At 36.6% G+C, this 19,136-nt stretch overlaps 1 protein-coding gene and 1 long non-coding RNA gene across 2 annotated transcripts in view; one reads left to right on the top strand and one right to left on the bottom strand.

Moving 5' to 3' along the window:
- Positions 1-3,819, top strand: part of LOC105375144 (uncharacterized) — a 67,939-nt gene extending 64,120 nt beyond the window's left edge. The window contains exon 4 of the long non-coding RNA XR_001745084.2: positions 3,737-3,819. This is a non-coding gene — a long non-coding RNA (uncharacterized LOC105375144). The remainder of the gene's footprint in view (positions 1-3,736) is intronic.
- The window catches only part of NXPH1 (neurexophilin 1), a 319,353-nt gene that overhangs the window by 184,618 nt on the left and 115,599 nt on the right, over positions 1-19,136 (bottom strand). The window lies entirely within an intron of this gene.

Raw genomic sequence — 19,136 nt, 5'->3', positions numbered from 1 at the left:
AGGGAGAATGTAGCTAAAGAAAATACATTATTAGTTCTTGTTTGCCTATTTATTCGAGGAAATTGGGACCTTAAGAGAGACATACAAGGGAAATTTTAAATGCTGAAAACATTTGAGAAAATAAAATTCCACCATCTTGGTTTAGAACCAGTTATAGTCAACAGAGGTTTCTACCATTCTCAGGACATTTACAGTTAGTGTCACATAATCTGCTCTATTTTATTTACCTGTATTTGAAGGACTTAGGATGAATATCAATTTTAAAGCTATATGTTATATCTATCCCGAAAATAGCATGGGACGTTGAAAAAAGACTCGCCCTGCAATTCAGCAAGCTTATTTTCACCCACACAGATTACCTGTATTCGGCCAAATTATTTTCTATAAATATAAAGGGGTTGGACTTGATTTGGAGTAGACGATGTAAGGCCACTCCTAGCTCAGACTGCCTATGATTCTGTTAAGTGCCGCACTGAAAACAAAGTACCTGATTGAAATTAGTCCAGTGAAATCATGCCTTGAGCAACACTGAAAGACCATATGTTCTCCTTTAACTAAACTATATTTAGGTCGATTATAAGAACATCACACTCCACATAGCCACACTAGCAGGAAACTAACCTCAGAGAGCACCTCAGAGAAATATGCAGGCTTCAGTCTGGTGGCATTGAATACTCAAAAAGATAAAATTATAAAGTTTGAAAAGATGTGGCATAAGTCTAAATATTTCAATATTTTGTTGCTTTATAGTTTCATGTTTTTTCTTTAGTTTAAAAGCAAACTAACATCTACTTTAGTTACTGGATAAAAATGTTCTAGTTTAGAATGAAACAAGGTGTATGTCTGACTCATTGTGATTCTATAGAAATTGTCCCATTCTAAGGATTGCATATCAGATACACAGGTGGTTAGTCATTGTGGGCCCTGCCCACAGCCTTTTCCACAAAGAAATGTAATGCTCATAGTTCTTAGGTGCAGTATTTACTATAAGACCCCTGCAGAAATGATTTGACCAGAGGCGCAAACATGAACCAAAGGCAAATAATTCATACTTAGCAAGTGATCTTTGAAAGGACCTGTTATTTAAAATAAAATGAAACAGGGCTTCTCAAGAAATGGTTTCTAGAAAACCCAAAAGAACTTAAACTGTTATTTGGGGGAGATAAAATCATATTTAGAGTTGGAAACATAAGATTTGAAGCAAACTAACAGTATAAGGGACCAGAGCCAAACCAGTTAGTAGGAAGTGTATAATGAAGATTCGTAGAAAAGCAAAGCTTCCATCACAGATGTGTATGTGTGAGAGATAAAGCAGACGGTCAAGAGAGAAGCCTGAATGTTTCACTAAAATTTTAGGCCACATGAATCTTTAAGTATTCTTTTTTTCTTCTTGTTCTTGAAACAATTTGAGTAAATGATGATTTCTGTATTAGTGTTCTCCAGAGGGACAGAACTAACAGTAGATAGATAGATGAGAGAGAGAGAAAAAAAATATGAATGAATATGAGGTTATTAGGGGAATTGGCTCAGATGATGAGGGAGGCTAAGTCCCAAGACCCAGGCCACCTGTAAGCTGGAGACTCTGTGATACTGGTAGCATGGCTCAGTCCAAGTCCAAACACCTCTAAATCAGAGGAGCCAATAGTATAATTCTTAATTCAAAGCCAAAGGCCTTCGAACTCATGAGGGCCACTGGTGTAAGTCCAAGAATTGCAAGGATGGAGGACCTGGGGTCCTAGTGTCTGAGGGCAGGAGAAGAGTGTCCCAGCTCCAGGAGAGACAGAGACCAATTTGCCTTTCTTCTGTTTTTATTCATCCAAGGCTCCAACACATTAGATGCTACCTACCCAACTTTAAGGTAGATCCTCACTACTTAGTCCACTCAAACTCACATGCCAATCTCCTCTGGAAACATCCTCATAGGAAAGCCCCAAAATAATGCTTTACCACTTTCCTAGGTATTCATTAATTCAGTCAAGTGGACATTTAAAATTAATCATCATAGTCTCTGTCCATGCAACCAAAGCTAAACAACAGGTTTAATTTTGGAACAATTTCATGGTCCTCCAAAAGAGAGCACCACAGTGTCATTATGTAGAGAAGATTCCAATGATTCCATCTGGACAAGTATCTGAGTCATCAGAATCGATGGTGCCAAAGAACTAGAGAGACTGAAGCTCCTTTGCTCGAGCCTCTGTGAGAGACTCAGAAAACACAATGCTGTGCTTACTTGGTAAGCAAAGTGGATAAGAAGGAAGCAATAACAACTGGATTCTCTTGACAGTAAAGTCCTCATCTGGCATCATCCCACCTACTTTGGAGTAACCAGGGTGCCCCAAACCAACAGAATTTCCAAGGGAAACTGTCAGCACTTTAAGACACACAAAGGATCCTCCATTCTTAACTCAAGGAAGAGAGTTAGGCTACAGTGAGGTTTGTGGGAGAATACTAAACTAAATGAATACTTTAACAACTTTGTTATTGAATTTGTGGCCCTAAAATTCACCAGGAATCATAGAAATAGAAAGCCAAACCCACTGTAAAGTTGTGCTTCACAAAACTCTCATTAAAAGTAACGATGGGCCAAGAGGTAGTATAAGTTTATTCCACAAAATATGTTGTGAGGGCACCTAAACACACCAGTGAAACACCCAAAAAAATAAAATTATAAAGTTTAAAAAGATGTGGCGTAAGTCAAAATATTTCAATATTTTGTTGCTACATAGTTTCATGTTTTTTCTCTAGTATAAAAGTAAACTAACATCTAGTTTGGATAAAAATGTTCTAGTTTAGAACACAACAAGGTTTGTTATACCTAAACCCTCTCTCCTTTATATTTATGTCAAACTCACTGTGATTCTATAGAAATAGTCCCATTCTAAGGATTGCATAAGCTCTTGAATCAGATTTAAGCAACAAATCTAGATTCTATGTTTCAATTTCTCTATTGACTTATGTCTTCCTTGCTTTATTTGGCTTTAAAAATACTAAGATCCTGCATTGCGTGCTTAAAATATGGGTATAAGACAAACTCTTTCCAGTGATGTTCTTGGTAAATACTCTTGAGAGAAAAGAAATTGACACTCAAATGACAGCAAAATCACATTTTGATGTTTTGAAAGGACCCACCCAGAGTGACAGTGGGCTGGAATCTATCCATCATCACTCTCCAGGTTTCTGAGAATGACCCTGAAAACTACGAGAAAGAAAATATGAGAAAGAATACACAGGGCCACATCTGATTTGTGGTGCCGTCTTATATGCCACAGGTGATTGGGCAGGAAAGAGTTCTCAACAAAAGCTCCCTATTTTATTACTACTGCTACCTCTAATCCAAAATTTAAGGGACTCTTGAAGTCTACTTGTTTACTTCCTGAGAGGACACAGTCCAGCAAATAAGAGAAAAAGATTCAATAGAATAATTCCAGAACTGGCATTGTAGTGTTGAATAAACATACAGCAAAATCATCCTATGTCTCCTGCTTCTTTGCTTATTTCCAGCAAAGACTGTTACAAACTCTGGTTTCTAAAAAGCACAGAGTGCATATTCTTTTTAAACTTGAGCAGTAATTGACTAGCTCTATCTAATGAGATTAAGAAAGAAATGGACCACACTTCACCTGGATTGAGTTCTGGAATAAAAGAAAAGCATCCTGCCTTAATGAATGGCCAGTTTGTAAAGCATTCAAGTGATGCTTATTCTTTTCCCTCCTTCTTGATTTTCTCTTCCCATTAGGAATTTGGAGTAAGTGTTCAATCCAGTGGGGAAGCTACAGTGTTTACTAACCGAGATGGCAGCCAGGATCCCTCAGTTTGAGATATGCTTTCAACTAGGTGTTGCCAACTTTCCTTCCAGATGGCTGTTAAGCACCCACAACCTACAATCAACACAGCTTCTGGCAGCAGTTGGGAAGAGCCATGAGCAATGTCACATCCAGAGGAGAAAGCCAGCAAAATCATCCCCTGTACAGTCATTCTCAAGTACCATACGCATTCTACTTTTATTAACAGAACTATTTAGATTAGGCATGAAATTAATTTACTGCTACGCTGGTTTAAGACATTTATTTTTAAAATTAATTTTGCAATTGGCTTGAATCTGTTTTGCTATAGGAGGCTAGGATGGCAAACAGACAATGAAAAAGAAAAACTATGCAGCCCCATCAGAGTAAGCGGATGGCAAGGTGATTGATGTTTCTGCCCAAGGAGTGAGCAGATAGTCAAAAAGCATGGGCTAAATCTATAATTTTTGTGCTCTGGGGACAAGAGGAAGGATTGGAGGTGGGAAGTTTCTTAGTTTTATGCAATGGAACTGAGAGAGGCATTTTGCCTGTTCTTTGCATATATTCTACCCTATTCAAATTCCAACTGGCAGTGAAGAGTTCTGGCATTGGCTAACTGAAGAAGCATCACTTATTTATTTGTTTTGTGGCTGTTTGTTTTGCTCTTTTAATCTCAATGGCCCATCAATTTTTAACTAAGCTCCCTCCAGGGTTTATGGTTTGGGCAAGCCAGTTAACCACAATAAGTGGCATTCCCAAAGAATTTCTGCGTGCATTATTAGCAGAGCACAGTGGCTGCCTTGGACTCCAGGTAAAAAGATAAAGCATTTGCTGGGGATATTTGTCTCAATCTATAGAGAAGGAGGAATTTCCAAATGGGTAACCTTTTCCCCCAACCAGAATCACCCCAAGGAAATTTGACTTCTCCTAAAATCCTTTCCCTTTACCAGCTCTCATACTAGCTCTCCACATTTTTTCACACCTTATTGCTCATAGTCAGAAAGTGCTTCCGAGTCTTGTTTCAATCCCTTCTGCATCCTCCTTTCCTATGTCATCAATAAAAATGGTAACATCAACATATTATGCTTTCATAAGTTTATATTTCTGTAATGGAATACACCAATTTTGTTGCTCATTCTAGGCTCTAACTAGGAGCACATATATCCAAATTCTTAGTTAGTGGGCATTCTCAAAGAGCTCTAAGAATTCAGACACAATGACTGAATATAACCTACAGAAAATTAGGCTGATTTTTGCCTTAAGACACAGTTTCTTCTTTTTTAAAATACACAACAATGTTTTTCTTCTCCTAATTAAGTAGTGCTGTACACTAGAAATCAGATAAAGAATTCAAGGACCCAAAGTTTAGAACAGGAACTGGCAGTTTTCTTTGCAATGTGTGATAGAGAATTGGTTTCATTTTGACCTCCTGAGGTTTGACTAATTCTGTTACAGATTTGGAAGTCAATGTTCTATCTTGCATATAAAGTCAAAAGATTTAATTCAAATAAAAAGTAGAACTAAGTATGTATATGCTTATAGGTTAGAATTCATAACTTAATTATCTACTGGAGCCATTTCTAAAACATGATGTTAGAGCCATATTTATTTTTACTTTTGATGGCATCTTTTCTGCTTATAGAGATAATACATGTCATTTTTTAAATTAGGAAATTCAGAAAAAGTATATGTCATTGATATTCTCACCACTCAGAGATAACTAGAGATATGTTTTTTCAATCTTTTTGAAATATATGCACATACCAATACACATTTTTAAACAACACTAGCTTATACCAGACATATTTTTTATACCATGAGCATTCCCATTTATATTAAACATTATCCATTAGGATATGTTAAGACAATATCCATTAGGATATTATCTATTAGGATATCCATCAACTGTATTTATTTTTAGATTTATTTTAAAGTTTCCATTTAACATCACTCAAGCACAGGAATGTGTTAGTCATTAAAGAATATCTGTAAAAATCACATTTAAGAAAGTTACGGTTTAAAGAAAAGAAAAGAACAAAAAAAAAAAACTCATTTCATTATCACCAGGGCTGAATTCAGAGTTATAGAGGAAAAGGAAAGTAAGTTAATCAGTTGCTTCAAGGAAATGAATCAACCATTAAAAATCATGCATTTACAAAGCTCTCTTTTGTAAGGTATCTCTTTTGCTGAAGTACTTTTGTTAATATTATTCATCTGCCTGGAATAGACATCAGCTCCCCTGCCTAGCTCAATCCTACAGATTTTTTGAGGATCAATATTTTCCATCTGGCCTTTCCAACTGTTCCAACCTCTTCTTAAAAAGCCTCTTCAATCTCTTGGGAGGAAGCTGACGTATAATGGTTAAAAATGTAAGGTTGATCTTGAGCAAATTAAAATTTAAGGTTTTTGTGCCTCCAGTTTCCTATCTGTAAAATGGTAATAAAATATTCCCTTCCTCACAGGGTCATTACAAGGATCATAAGTCAATAGCATGCCAAGCACTTAAAATGGTGCCTGGAACAGTATAGATATTCAATAAATGATGAGTGCCATTATCTGTAACTCTCATTTGGATGCTTAATATTGTTTGACCGTAGTAACCGTTTCACTATGTATATGTATATCGAAACATCATGTTGTTAAATATATACAATACTTTTTTTAAAAAATCACATACTGCTTTGTTCTTTTGTTTCTCAGCAACATTTTCCCCATTGTTTGCCGACTTTCTGCAGTTTTATTCTTTTGGCACCACTCTCTTTTTATGTAAATACCTAAATTTTTCCCTGCCTGGTGCTCTACACTTTTTTTCTCTTTTCTTCCTGTTGAGAACTCATGGACCTTTACAAAACCTCATTATGCCCTCTAATCATCTAAGGCTTTTGACTGTCAGCCTGGAGTTAGGGACTAGTCTAGCAGAAAAGTCAGCCTCAAAAGATTCAGTCTGTGAATCTGTTTCTGCCAACAGGCTCCCTATACCATGTGACTCGACCCATTTTATAATCTTGGCTCATTTGTTTTCACCCTTGGGCTGAATGTCTCAGGGCGTCTCTCAGGTGGCAGTTGAGTTGAAAATAAAATGTACTACTACATTCTTTGGTACACTATTCTAATTACTGAAAACAGCCCAGAGGAGGGAAGGAGGGAGGGAAAAAGAAAGAGAAAAAGAGAGAGAGAGGTGTGTGTGTGTGTGTGTGTGTGTGTGTGTGTCACATAGGCTTCCCTCATCTCCAAAACTGAGTGTTACAAGAAGTAAGGAGACCCTACCTAAGGGCAATTTGCTATACAGCTAGCTCAGCAGTTGTGAGCGGTTCTCCCTCACCAACCAAATCTCCTTGCTAGAATCATTTTTCTCTTTCAGAGCTTCGAAACACCAAAGCACAAGGAAGCATTGAGTTACAAGTATCAGAGCCCAGCTGAGTCCCTGTATGTGCATCTGTCTATCCTACTGGGAGAGTATATAGAATTCCCGTAGTTATAATTGGTGCTGCTGCCCTTCGGCTTAGAATTGCATTACTTGAAAAGCAGAGGGGTTGCTGTTGTACTTATGATCATTAATATTTCAATCCAGAGGGGCTTGTTTCCTAAACCCTAGGAGAGGTAACAAAGGTTAGCATGGTGAAGCTCAGCCAAAATGCTGTAACCTGCAGCCAGATGTGTTATGAATAACAATGTGTGGAAGAAATAATACAACCAGATAAGGAGAACAAGCTTCTAGTGTTAAAAACCTTAGCAAATTGAGGTTTTGTTTAAGTATGTGGGAGCTAAATGCCAAAGAAAAGCCCCCTGACCTAAGCAGCTTGCTGAAAGTGGCTGCACATAATTCAACAACTCTGCCAGGAAAGTTACACACAAAAGGTTGAGAAAAGCTGATCCAAGAGATCAACTAATGGCTTGGAAGGAAGTTATAGAACCAGACGTCTCATCCCAGGCTCCTCTCACTCTCCCCCTTCCTTGATTTTCCCTTAGGGCCCCATTGCCTTGGAAAAGAAATTTAACTTACACACTGCAGAAAGGGTAATAAATACTTGCCAACAACCTACCATTGGAGGGCGTAACAGTAATAATGTGGATTCAAGTAAGTGGCTGCTTCTGAAATGAGAGTATCCCTATGACCACAGAGTATACTCCCTTGCAGTCTGTCACATCAAACAAAATAATAAAGATCACACTGCCTTTTTTCTAGAATTAGAGTGTGTTCTTTAGAAAATCCATGTTCAGCTACTCTGGTTTTCAAATGTCAACAGTCTTTGAAATATCTAATGCCAAGGAGTAAAGCAAAGCACATCTGCATTATAGTATGAGAAGGTTGGGTTTGAGAAGTCAAACTTCACAGCTTATAATTTTTTGATAATACTAGACTTTTACATATGCTATTATTTTTTATATGACCTGACTATCCTACGAATATTGAAATTAAGTGGATTATTCAAGATGTGCAGCAATGAGTTATATTAATCTTTCAAGTAGAATTCTGTTTTGTAACTGAGGCATCAAAGTAAAATGAAAAGGAGTCCTTCTTTGTTTTCTTCATAAATAATGCCTAAAGACGGCAAATGCATGGCTCTACCGTTACCATTCTTCTCTCCCGACTTCATGGTAGATATCAATAATCGATTCTGGCAATCTTTCATGTCAGCCTAGTTGTAATTTCAGAAAAACAACCACTACAAATGGATCAGATTTGGCAGGCAAGTTGACTACTGGCCCAGTATGCTATGCCCACTCCAAATTGGTGACATCATGAAGACTCATTCTGTATTAAGTGACACATTTGAGTTTCTATGACTGAAATCCATGTCTATGTAGCATTATCTGGAAGGAAAAATATAAGGTGAAGTTTACGGACCTAAACCTATAAGGTCTACACTTGGCCCTGCTAAGGCACCAGACCCAACCCCAGCCTTCTATCAACACTGAATGGACTAGTGGCATCTAACTGAGGAAAAAAGCTCATGTACCTGTTAACTTAGCGCTGAAAGTTTTAGGGAACTCAGCTAAGACAAAAATGAGTGTTCTCAGCATAAATTAATTACTGTGTCTTAAGAAAGTAGGGAGAAAATAGGAACCAAAAGAATTTATATTTTTATTAAATTTGGGCATCCAAATAATGAGTTTGTCTGGTGTTTATGAATTTTAATGAAAACACCTAAGGCAAAAGCATGTCTTACCAATTTAAGGGAAATTGTAAATACAGATCTTCTAAGACACTCGGGAGGTGACAGAAGAAAGAAAGGACTTTTCTTTTTCAATCAAATTAAGACTTTTTTGTATGTTCATATTAATGTTCTAAAATTAGATTCCACCAGGGCGTGGCGGCTCATGCCTATAATCTTAACACTTTGGAAGGCTGAGGTAGGAGAATCACTTGAGACCAGAAGTTCAAGACCAGCCTGGGCAACATAATGGGACCTTGTCTCTAAAAAATTTTTAAAAATCAGCCATGCATGGTACCTATAGTCCCAGCTACTCAGCAGGCTGAGGTGGAAGTCACTTTAGCCCAGGAGTTGAAGGTTATAGTAAGCTATGATCATGCCACCACACTCCAGCCTGGGCAACAGAGCAAGACTCTGTCTCAAAATAAAATAAAATAAAAAGATCCCAATATTAGGATGTAATCAATATTCTATTGTTTTTAATTTTTTCCTGCAGTTCACTATACTTCCAAAAACAGATCAAAACAAACAAACAAACTATAGCAAGATAATCAACACAAAAGACGGCAGTCATCTATGAAACAAAATGAAAAGCAAGCAAGAAAGGTGGGCAGTTTAAACAATCGATTCTAACTAGAAAATACCTCGAAATCTGCTGTAGGCTGATGAAACTTAATTTAAAAATAACAAGGAGAAATGAAACTTATTAAATATCAGTAACAATCATATAAAAGGAAAAGGTTGGGCTCATAGGTGACTTGAGCCTATGAGATATAAGAATCTAGCTCAGTATGGAGCCACATTCAAAGGTTTAAAGAACTAAACCTACTTGTAAGAAAAGGCTCTAAGAACAAAGAAAGAGACCACACTGGAAGCATTGTTAATAGATATCATTTTATGTAGTAACTAAGCTTTATTGGCTCCAATGTCTCCTAGACATTAAAAAGATAAAATTAAAAGCCGATTTTACTGTTAACCATTTACTAATATTCTCTCCCAAGCTCCAGCTGCTCTAACTCTTCAAGTCTAACAGGATGTCCAGTGGCACCTGAGAAAAACACTCTGGAAGAATTACAACTCGCTTCCATTATGCACAGGAGTTCCCACCTCCCAAAAAGACTTGTTAATGTTTGCCAAAAAATAAAATAAAATAGATAAAATGTGTCACCGAAAAAAATAACCAAATAAACAGATACAATTTTGACTCTTGAAAGCTGATAGATAATAAAGAAACCCATATAAAACCTAATTGTAAGAATTTAAAATCAAAATGTTTCTCATACATAAATTTCATAGAAATCTCTCTCTGATTTTATTCAGAAAATATCAAATTAGGGAGGACAGAAGAGAAATTTTAATAACAAGCCTTTTTATGTGTGTGAAGTGCTTTGAACCTTTTTTTTATGATAGGACTGTGCGGGCAGAGAGGATAATGGTCTACATAGAAGAGATGAAGTACATTCAAAGCTGGGGATAAACTGGGAGGAACTGATCAGAAAGTAAAGAAGCAATTGCCTGGATTGATTTTCTGTATGCCTTTACATGGTACTAAATCTGCAGAATGTTTTAGCACAAGGAGGAAAATATGGGTCCAGCATTCTACTGAATCCTGAAAAGTGAGCTGAGCAGTTTATGTCGCTGTATATGAGTGATGTGAGAGATGAATTTCACTGGAGGTTTGTCCTGCCTTTAGAAGGTAGCAGCTACTTGAGAAGGAAATGTTTTTACTGCACCAGTTCTGTACAATACTCAAAATACCATTAAAGGAAATAACAATGGGTAAAACCCCATTACTGCTGGGTACATTACACACAGTAAATTATTCTGTCATCAAAACCCTTAAAGGCGGTTGACATTAGCTCTAGTCTACAAACCAAGAAACCAGACCCTGAGTGGAGGGGTCAATAATTTACCCAAGATTAAAAGGATTGCAAAGGAGTAGCTAGGGTTTTGACCAAGTCTGTCACAGGACCCAAAGCAAGCATGACCCCAGTATACCATGGAAGCCTCCTTCTGAATGTTTTAAAGGAAGGTGTTGATTGACATTGTTATGAGATATTTGAGATTGAGCCTGCCTTAGGAAGAGGGGTCTAATCACATTGTTGTTGTTGTTGTTGTTGTTGTTGTTTTAACACTTAAGCATTTACAATGCATGCCCTTTTAAGACTAACAAAAGCCCGGGATGTACCCACATGAACAATGCTGTAACACAATCACAGAGGTTTCAACTGTCCCATAAGCACATGTATGGACCCAAACACAGGTTCTAAACCTCTGGACAAGTGACCACTGGTATTTCTCATATCTCTGTGCTACATTACAATGTCTCATTCTATGTAGTCATCGACTAGGAAACAGGAGAGTTAAGCGTATGTGTTATGAATTTAGACGACTTCAATTCATATCCTGCCTTTGCCTCTTAATGGTTATGACCTTGAGCAAGGTACATTACCTCATCGTATCTGTTTCTTCATCTGGAATGGGGACAGGAATAAATGTCTGACCCATAAGTTGTGAGAATCAAATGAGAAATCATGTATAAGCCCTTTAGCCCATGCCTGACACAGAGTAAGCATTAAATAAATGTTAACTATCATCTTTGGTTTGAAAAGAGTTCACTACCAAGGGGTTTCCATGCTTTATGTAATGTGACTTTGTGTAGTAGTTTTATCAGTAACACAATATATAGCAGTCTGTATTTTCCAAATACCTATGTTTAAAACAAGTGTGGTTTTCTGCAATACTATCATGTTACTCCCCCAAAAAGAGGTAGGGTTTGTTTCTGATGATGTAATGTTGTGTCAGTTCTAGACATACATAGTTCTTAACTGGCCAGTTAGTTTTTACTTTCTGCCTGCTGGAGCATTCTCGGAACTCATTGATCACTCTGTAAGAAAGCACAAGTAACCTGGTGGAGGGGCCCACATGAAGAGAAATCAAAGCCCCCAGCCAACACTTGCAGCTGAACTCCCAGTAGACAACCGGAACCAACTTGACAGCCAGGTGAGTGAGCAATCTTGGAGGTAGATGCTCCAGACTCAGTAGAGAGAAAATCCAGCTAACATCACACACAGCAGAGTTGAGCAATTACTTCCAAACCCTGCTAAATGGCAGATGACTGTTGTGTCAAGTCACCAAATTTGGGGATAGTTTGTTAGGCAGCAGTAGACACCCAGAACACACACTCTATGTAATCACTCTTTTCCATTTTCCTGATGCTCACCTTCTCTGAGTTGGGGCCCATTATAAAGATACTTATTTTTGGATCAATAGCCATAACATGGGCTAAGTGCCTGCTGTTTGCCAATCACTGGCCTATCCTGGATGGAGGGAAGAAGGACGAATACAACTGCATGAGTAAAAATATGTTCCTCCCCTCAAGAGCCTATATTATAGTTAGAGAGAATGACTATCTATAGTTAACAAATATTTAACCCCAGTGCAAATTATACTGTCTAAACTAGATCCATTTGTTCCAAGTACAGATAGAAAGCCCAGTGGGGACATAGGACATAGACAGGAGAAGCTTAGATATGAAATGCTTCCCCAAGAGTTAGATGTAAGCCAGATTTTTTAAGATAAAAAATATAAAGTAGACACACAGGAATCAGGCAGAGAATACATTCAGTAAGTGAGAAATAACAAACGCAAAGGTTCAAAACTGGTAATGAACAAGTTATAGCCAAGATCTGTGAAGGAAACTGCCTAAATTCTAGCAGAGGGTCCTTGCCAAGACGAACAAAGAAATGAGGTTGGGGAGATTGGACAAGAGGTCAGCAAAGCTCTACTCCAAGCTTTTACAACCTGGTGTGCTTTGGCCTTGGGAAAGTTTTTCTTTTCTCCTTTCAGAAAGAAGCCTCCTCTCCAGCCCTCAAAGACAAGCAACCTGAAAAGTGACTTAGGTGCTTCTGTCATGTAATGCTTGGTCTCTTTACAAACTGGCTTGCTGTGTTTTACTCAGCAGTCTGTGTCATCTCTTTTGTGGAATCAGGATTGTTCAAAATCTACTCGTATCTTCTGCCTGGTGTCTTCTGTCAGAGGTGTCTAAGCAGATTCCTTACACATCCATCAAAGAGACACACTTCAAAATGGGAACTAAAAGCAAAGTGACCATATCAATAAAAGCTGCTCTTAGTTGATTCACAAATGCAGCCTCCAATGGAGTGCTGAGCAGAAAATAACTCCCACTGGACTTCAGTCTATCAGTTGCGTGTTAGTTTTCCCCAACCAGTGAACTGTATTCACTCCTGACCATTAGAACCACAGGCTCTTGACACCAGCATATCTGGGTTGCATTCAGTCCTTTCATTCAATGCCTTTTATTGAGGACCTACACTTTTTCAGAAACGAAGCCAAACCACACTGCCTTCCAAGGACTGCCCTTCCCTACTATCAAGCTCTGGCAGAAGATGACATCTATGTGTGTCTTGATCCAAAAGGGATTTAACACCCCTGTGATTCAAGACGTCATGGCAATTTCCATCAATTTGATATCCCTCCTAAAATTCTAATAGGATCAAGAAAAAATTTAAACTGGAATTAGAAAAGTTAAGGTCTTGATTGTTTCTTTCATTTTTTAAATCCTTAAAGTCTTGTTTCACATACTGTTACAAACGTAACTGTTCTGGTGAACGGGCTGTATTATTTCAAGCAAAGAGCCTTCCTAAAGAACAGAAGGACTTTATACTTAAAAGGCCAAAGAATTCAGGAAATAGATCAGCCATGTTCTGTTTTTTAACACAGGTTTTAAGACAGGTATCTCTAGAGCCTCTTTTCTACCCAAATACTCTTTTGCTTTTCCTGAAATGTGAACCTAAGAAAGGATGTGGAAGTATGTGGAACATAGATAACACATATTAATGTACTAAGAGCCTATTATAAATGTCTTTATGGACCACAATTCAGGGTACAGAGGACTGCAGCTCATTTACCCACTCACATACACCCAAAAACATGTACATCCCCATAAGCACAACATTCTCAGTTTCAAATCCTAAGAGCACCGACCGGCTCATTCTGATGGATGTGAGTCAATCTCCCACCATATGGTCGGTATTGCTCCTCCTCTGACAAGTGCATCATCCCCAGGTTTGGATCACATCTGTCTCATTAGACTGAAGGATTGCCCCTGGCTATTATTGTATTTTAGACAACTTCGGTGTCATCCTAAATGCCTGAAGGTTAACACCTAAGCAATGATAGTATCTAACATTGGCATAGTCTTATTTTTTTTGCTTTTTTCTTCCATCATGTTATAAGCTCCCTGAGTCCCACATCTTGTTGAGACCAAGATCTTACTTAGCTCTTAACAAGCATAACTCCACCTGTAATCAGTTTGTGTACCTCTTACAGCACAGTAGATTAAAACCACACTTCAGCCACTGACATAACCATTTCAGCTTTCTAGAGATTCAATACTAAATTCCACAGTTAAATCAAAGGATTATTTTCCTAAGAAATGTTCTTGGAAATAAATATAATTGAAAAATTTTTCCAATGCCACAGGAAATCTCAACACTCATTAGAGAATTATGTGATGATTTGGAATTAGTAATAGATCTCAACTTGGGGAAACCTGTAGTTTGTTTTATTTTTATCCAACAGAACAAATGACTACACTGATCATGGCTCAAGATGATTTTTTCAAACCAAGGGTGTTTGAACATCTTAGCCTGATGGGACTTGGTGATGCATTAAATCTGTGGAGATAAGTTAGCTGGAAGATGTAAGGAAAAGACAGTATTGGGTGGATAGATGAAACTAGAGATTTACTGCCACATATATTCTAAACTATTACCCTGAGAAAGTTTGCTGGACAGTCCCTCCATTCCTTTAAGACCCATTCTGAATTAAGGCTAAAACCTGGGTATCTTCCTCATTAGTCAGTCAGTCATAAAACTGGCCTAGGCTTCAAGTCAAGACTATGTCAAGTAATATTTAATCCAACAAGCATTTATTTACTAATGATTATGTACCAGCCAATTTCTGCTCCATCATTTTAAATATAGAAAATTATTAGATTGTTTCATGTTTTCTAATACACATAATAAGCAAAAAAAAAAAAAAATGCCCACCACCTTCCTCAGAAAAAAAAATTGGAACTTTCATTAAAAGCTACCAAATTTCCTTTGGAATATAAATTTTTAAACCCCAATGAAGACAAAACTGGTTTGCCCACTGGAATTCATTTTCCATTTAATCCATTAAGGATAGAGAAATAAATTTGTTTGTCCAGCTCTGCTTTTTTTCTTTTTCAGCCAAAGAGAATCTGCACAATTTCCAAAGACAGCTTCACTAAAAACTGCTTTTCATTCTCTCTTTGCCTCTAGTCAAGTTTTATAAAAGGGATCACTGGAAGGGAATTTGGTACATATGTGCTCTCTTTCTTCCTTCTTAGATTTTGTGGTTGTATTTAGTTTTTGTAAAAATGGCTGTCTGACTTCCTAAACGATAGATCTTTACTACTTTTCAATACACTTCATACGTGACCATTAATACCTGCATCTTTTAAAAAAGGAAAAAATAATTTCTTCCAATCTGATTTGCTTGAAATGTATTACATAATGTCCTGAGATGTAATCTCCTAGGCAAAGAGCAAATACAAGCAGATTTTAATTAAGGGTAGTCGAATGGTGACATTGAAGGAATTGTGGAAATAAATACAGTGCAGTAATCATGCAAACATGAAAACCAAAACAAACTGAGTATTTTTCTGTGCCTTCGCATCCAAGAGAAAAACTTGACAGCACATAGCACATTTTTAAATTGTAGAACTGATTGCCCATTTTAGAGTGAAAACAGTTCAAGAAATCATAACTCTACACAGCACAAGGTTAATGCAATTTAAAATGCAAAAGCCAGGGAAATGGTACCCATATTACCTGGTATTTTTGCCATTTATGTACCCGGGGCAGACATGTTTCTTTCACCTTGACATCTGATTGCTGTGCTAATGCCATTTAAACCTAGATGGAAGAAAATTATGTTCTCCTAAGAAGCTGACTGATTATTTTCTTTAAAGAAAAGAAAAAAAAATTAAGACAGCCATTTTCATTCAAACAAAGTGCTACATAGAAACCTCTGAGTATAAATCCCATCAGGCCTCTATAATTTTTGCTTGCTATCGGTTATTGCTGGGATAATTGCATAGGAACATTATTTGTGTAATTGTCAGCAGTAGTACTCCTGGACCAAGGACCAAGGCCTCCTGCAGATTTCTACAAATTACATTACTCTCCTTAACGGTTTGTGTGGTTTTGGTGGTTTTTTTTTTTTTTTTTTTTTTTTTTTTGGTTTTTTTTCTGCAGACAATTGGAGTTAAGCCAAAATAGAATTATTGTTCTTAGACTTGGGAAGATTCACATTAATTTCTGAAAAGTACAGACAAATTTTGCAGCTAAGCAAACTGTGTCTTTTGTTTAAGAAAAAAGAGACATCAGAGGATTTAAGGGAAAAAACGTTCAAAAAATATGCACATCTTTAAAGCTATAGATCTACTTGAACAAATTGGAAGCTGACTTGGTGAACAAGGTGAAGAAAGCTATTAGACTGTTTAACCTAAAATGGTTGGACATGGAGAAAAAATATTTGACAATATTTGTACAACACTGTTTTCTTGCTCATTTGTTTGCTCTTCAAAGTCGTTATAATGCACTGTAGGAATTCAGAAACAATGAGCAGTTACAGTAGTAAATAAGACTTAGGAATGAAACATATTCCTAAATCTTATTTTAAAAGAATGTTTTTCTGTTTAAAAAAGAATGCATTTCCCTTCTTCCAAAATTGTAAAGGATAATTTCCTCAAAATTGTAAAAGATAACTGTAAAGGATAATTCTTATTTTATTTAAACACAGTATTTTACCTTGTTCCAAAATCGTAAAGGATAATTCTGCGTTATATATAATTCATCACCATTTTATAAGATATTATAAATATGGTATTTGTTTCACCTAAATCTTTCCACATATCTCATTTTTAAAAGTCTGGCTGAATTTTATTTAGTAAAGGAAAACTTTTAAACTCCTTGTGAAGTTGGAATTTAGCATGTTTTGCTTTAACCAAGTTTGCTCAGAATTCATCATTTTGATCACAACATACAGTAGCAAACACTTCTTTAATGTATTAGATCTTAGACAAAGGATATGAGTAGACAATTCATTTGTAAAAGAGGAAACACAGATGACAAATAGTTTAAAAATAGAAATTGAATAGGGTATAATAGTTGACCTACTAAATTAACCAAATATTTTTAATGATAATCTTTAATTTTTTGAGGATCTCATGAGACAGACATCCTTTTGCACAGCTGATAGAATTTTTAAAAAACTAAGATATTTCAGTAAGACAATTTTCTAATACATATTAGAAGTTTTATTTAAAACTGTACATTCTTTGAAGACAAATGCCTATCCTAAGAAAGACTATCCTAAAAATAATTTTTAAAATTCCAGGACTCAAGTATAAAAATATGTGTTGTTCAAAATTGAAAACATCTGTATACAATCTAATTGCTCAACAGGAGCATGTAGAATAAATTATGGTACAATGTGCAGTTGGTTATTATCCACCCATTAAATGGTATTTCAAATTTAAAATTTAAAAATATGTAACAACCTGGAGAACTATTCACCTTAAGTGAAATACAAGATCCAAAATTGCAGATGCATGTGGTTCAAAAGTTGTTATAGATATAACTATAGCTGTAAATATAGAAAAATGTTAACTGATAGTTTCTGAATGGTGGGACTAAAATAATTCCCATTTCCTCTCTGAGTTGGTATTATGGGTTATTTTGCATATAATATGTCTATTCAAGAGTTATTATTTCTGATATAAAGTAATACTATTTTTAAAAGTCAATGAAAAACAGAAGCACTATGCTTCCAATAAGTCATGGGAAGACTTTATAGGATTGCCCATGTGTCTTTGCCTCTGAAAAAAAGACTTCAGGAATGAAAGTGCAGGCTCACTCTATAACAGTGGAACCCAAGGGTTGAATAGTAAGATCCTTTTGGAATGCCCTTTAAAATATATTATCCATTTTGTTTTGAGTTGAGGTTGTTGGTGAAGTTATTACCATAAGCTGGATCCCAGCAACACCCCCCTTTTGCCCCCAGGCGTTTCATGTTCTGTCACTTCCCTCTGGAATCACTAATTGTGTCCAAGTCATCTCTATCCCCTACAGCCACTGATGGCTGTCACTAGGCAGACACATTCTCTAGTGGCTTTAGCCAAGGACAGAGTGAGAGTCACAAGCTTGTACTATTCCTGCTTTTCACTAAAGTCTCCAGATCACCGCAGGCAAGTTTTATAACTACCTATTGGTGGTTTCTCCTATTTAAAAATTGGGTTGCATTTGATATATTGTATTCTTTCTAACTGAGAAACAAAATAAGACATATATATCACCAGATACAAACTTGCATTCTGTGGGTTCAATCCTCACTGTTCAGTGCTTAGTGTGTCTCTCTGCCTAAGGAAACCAGTATAATTTAGAGGGAATTTGAGAAACAATGGTAGTTTAGTGGTTACAAACACGCACTGAAACTGGGCTTCCAGGGTGTGAATCCAGCTCTTCCACTAGCTAAAATGTATAAATGGGTAAATGTGTAATCTCTGTGTACATTTATTTCCTCCTCTGTAAAAACAGATTAAGTAAGTTAATTAGCTAATTAGTTACACATATATGGCATTTATAAGCATTTCTGGTGTAAAATCTTAGCAATTATTATAAGGCAGTGTACTCTCTCTTTTTTCAAAGTTATAAATATCTTTACAAAATTCCAAAAAGCAGAGATTAATATTGGGGGCTGGGTCTGTTTATAAGTAATTCTCTCTTCCATAGAGGGGGAAGAAAACAATCTACTGAATTAATCTTAGAAACAACTTACTCAAAACAGGATAACACAGGAGTTGTTTTATATTTCGCTTTTATTATTGACAGAAGCTTCATTAAAAAGACTTGGCATTCAGTATACTTACTCAGAATAAAGCCTGGATAAATGAGGATTCACAAGTAGTGGTGCATGTGTTAATATCTGTCTGTGATGTGCAAATACAGTCCAATAGGAACGATTTAAAATAATTACATTTCATTTTGGCTCATGTCAGTCACGAGTTAACTCAGCATAATTTAATGGAGAATTGCATTACCTGTTGCACTTAATGAGGCCACATTTGATAAGAGACTCTAGTGGG

Source organism: Homo sapiens, chromosome 7 (genome assembly GCF_000001405.40).
Source record: "Homo sapiens chromosome 7, GRCh38.p14 Primary Assembly".
Taxonomy (NCBI): domain Eukaryota; kingdom Metazoa; phylum Chordata; class Mammalia; order Primates; family Hominidae; genus Homo; species Homo sapiens.
The sequence above is the reverse complement of the archived record's forward strand: the minus strand, read 5'-3'. Positions and strand labels throughout refer to the sequence as shown.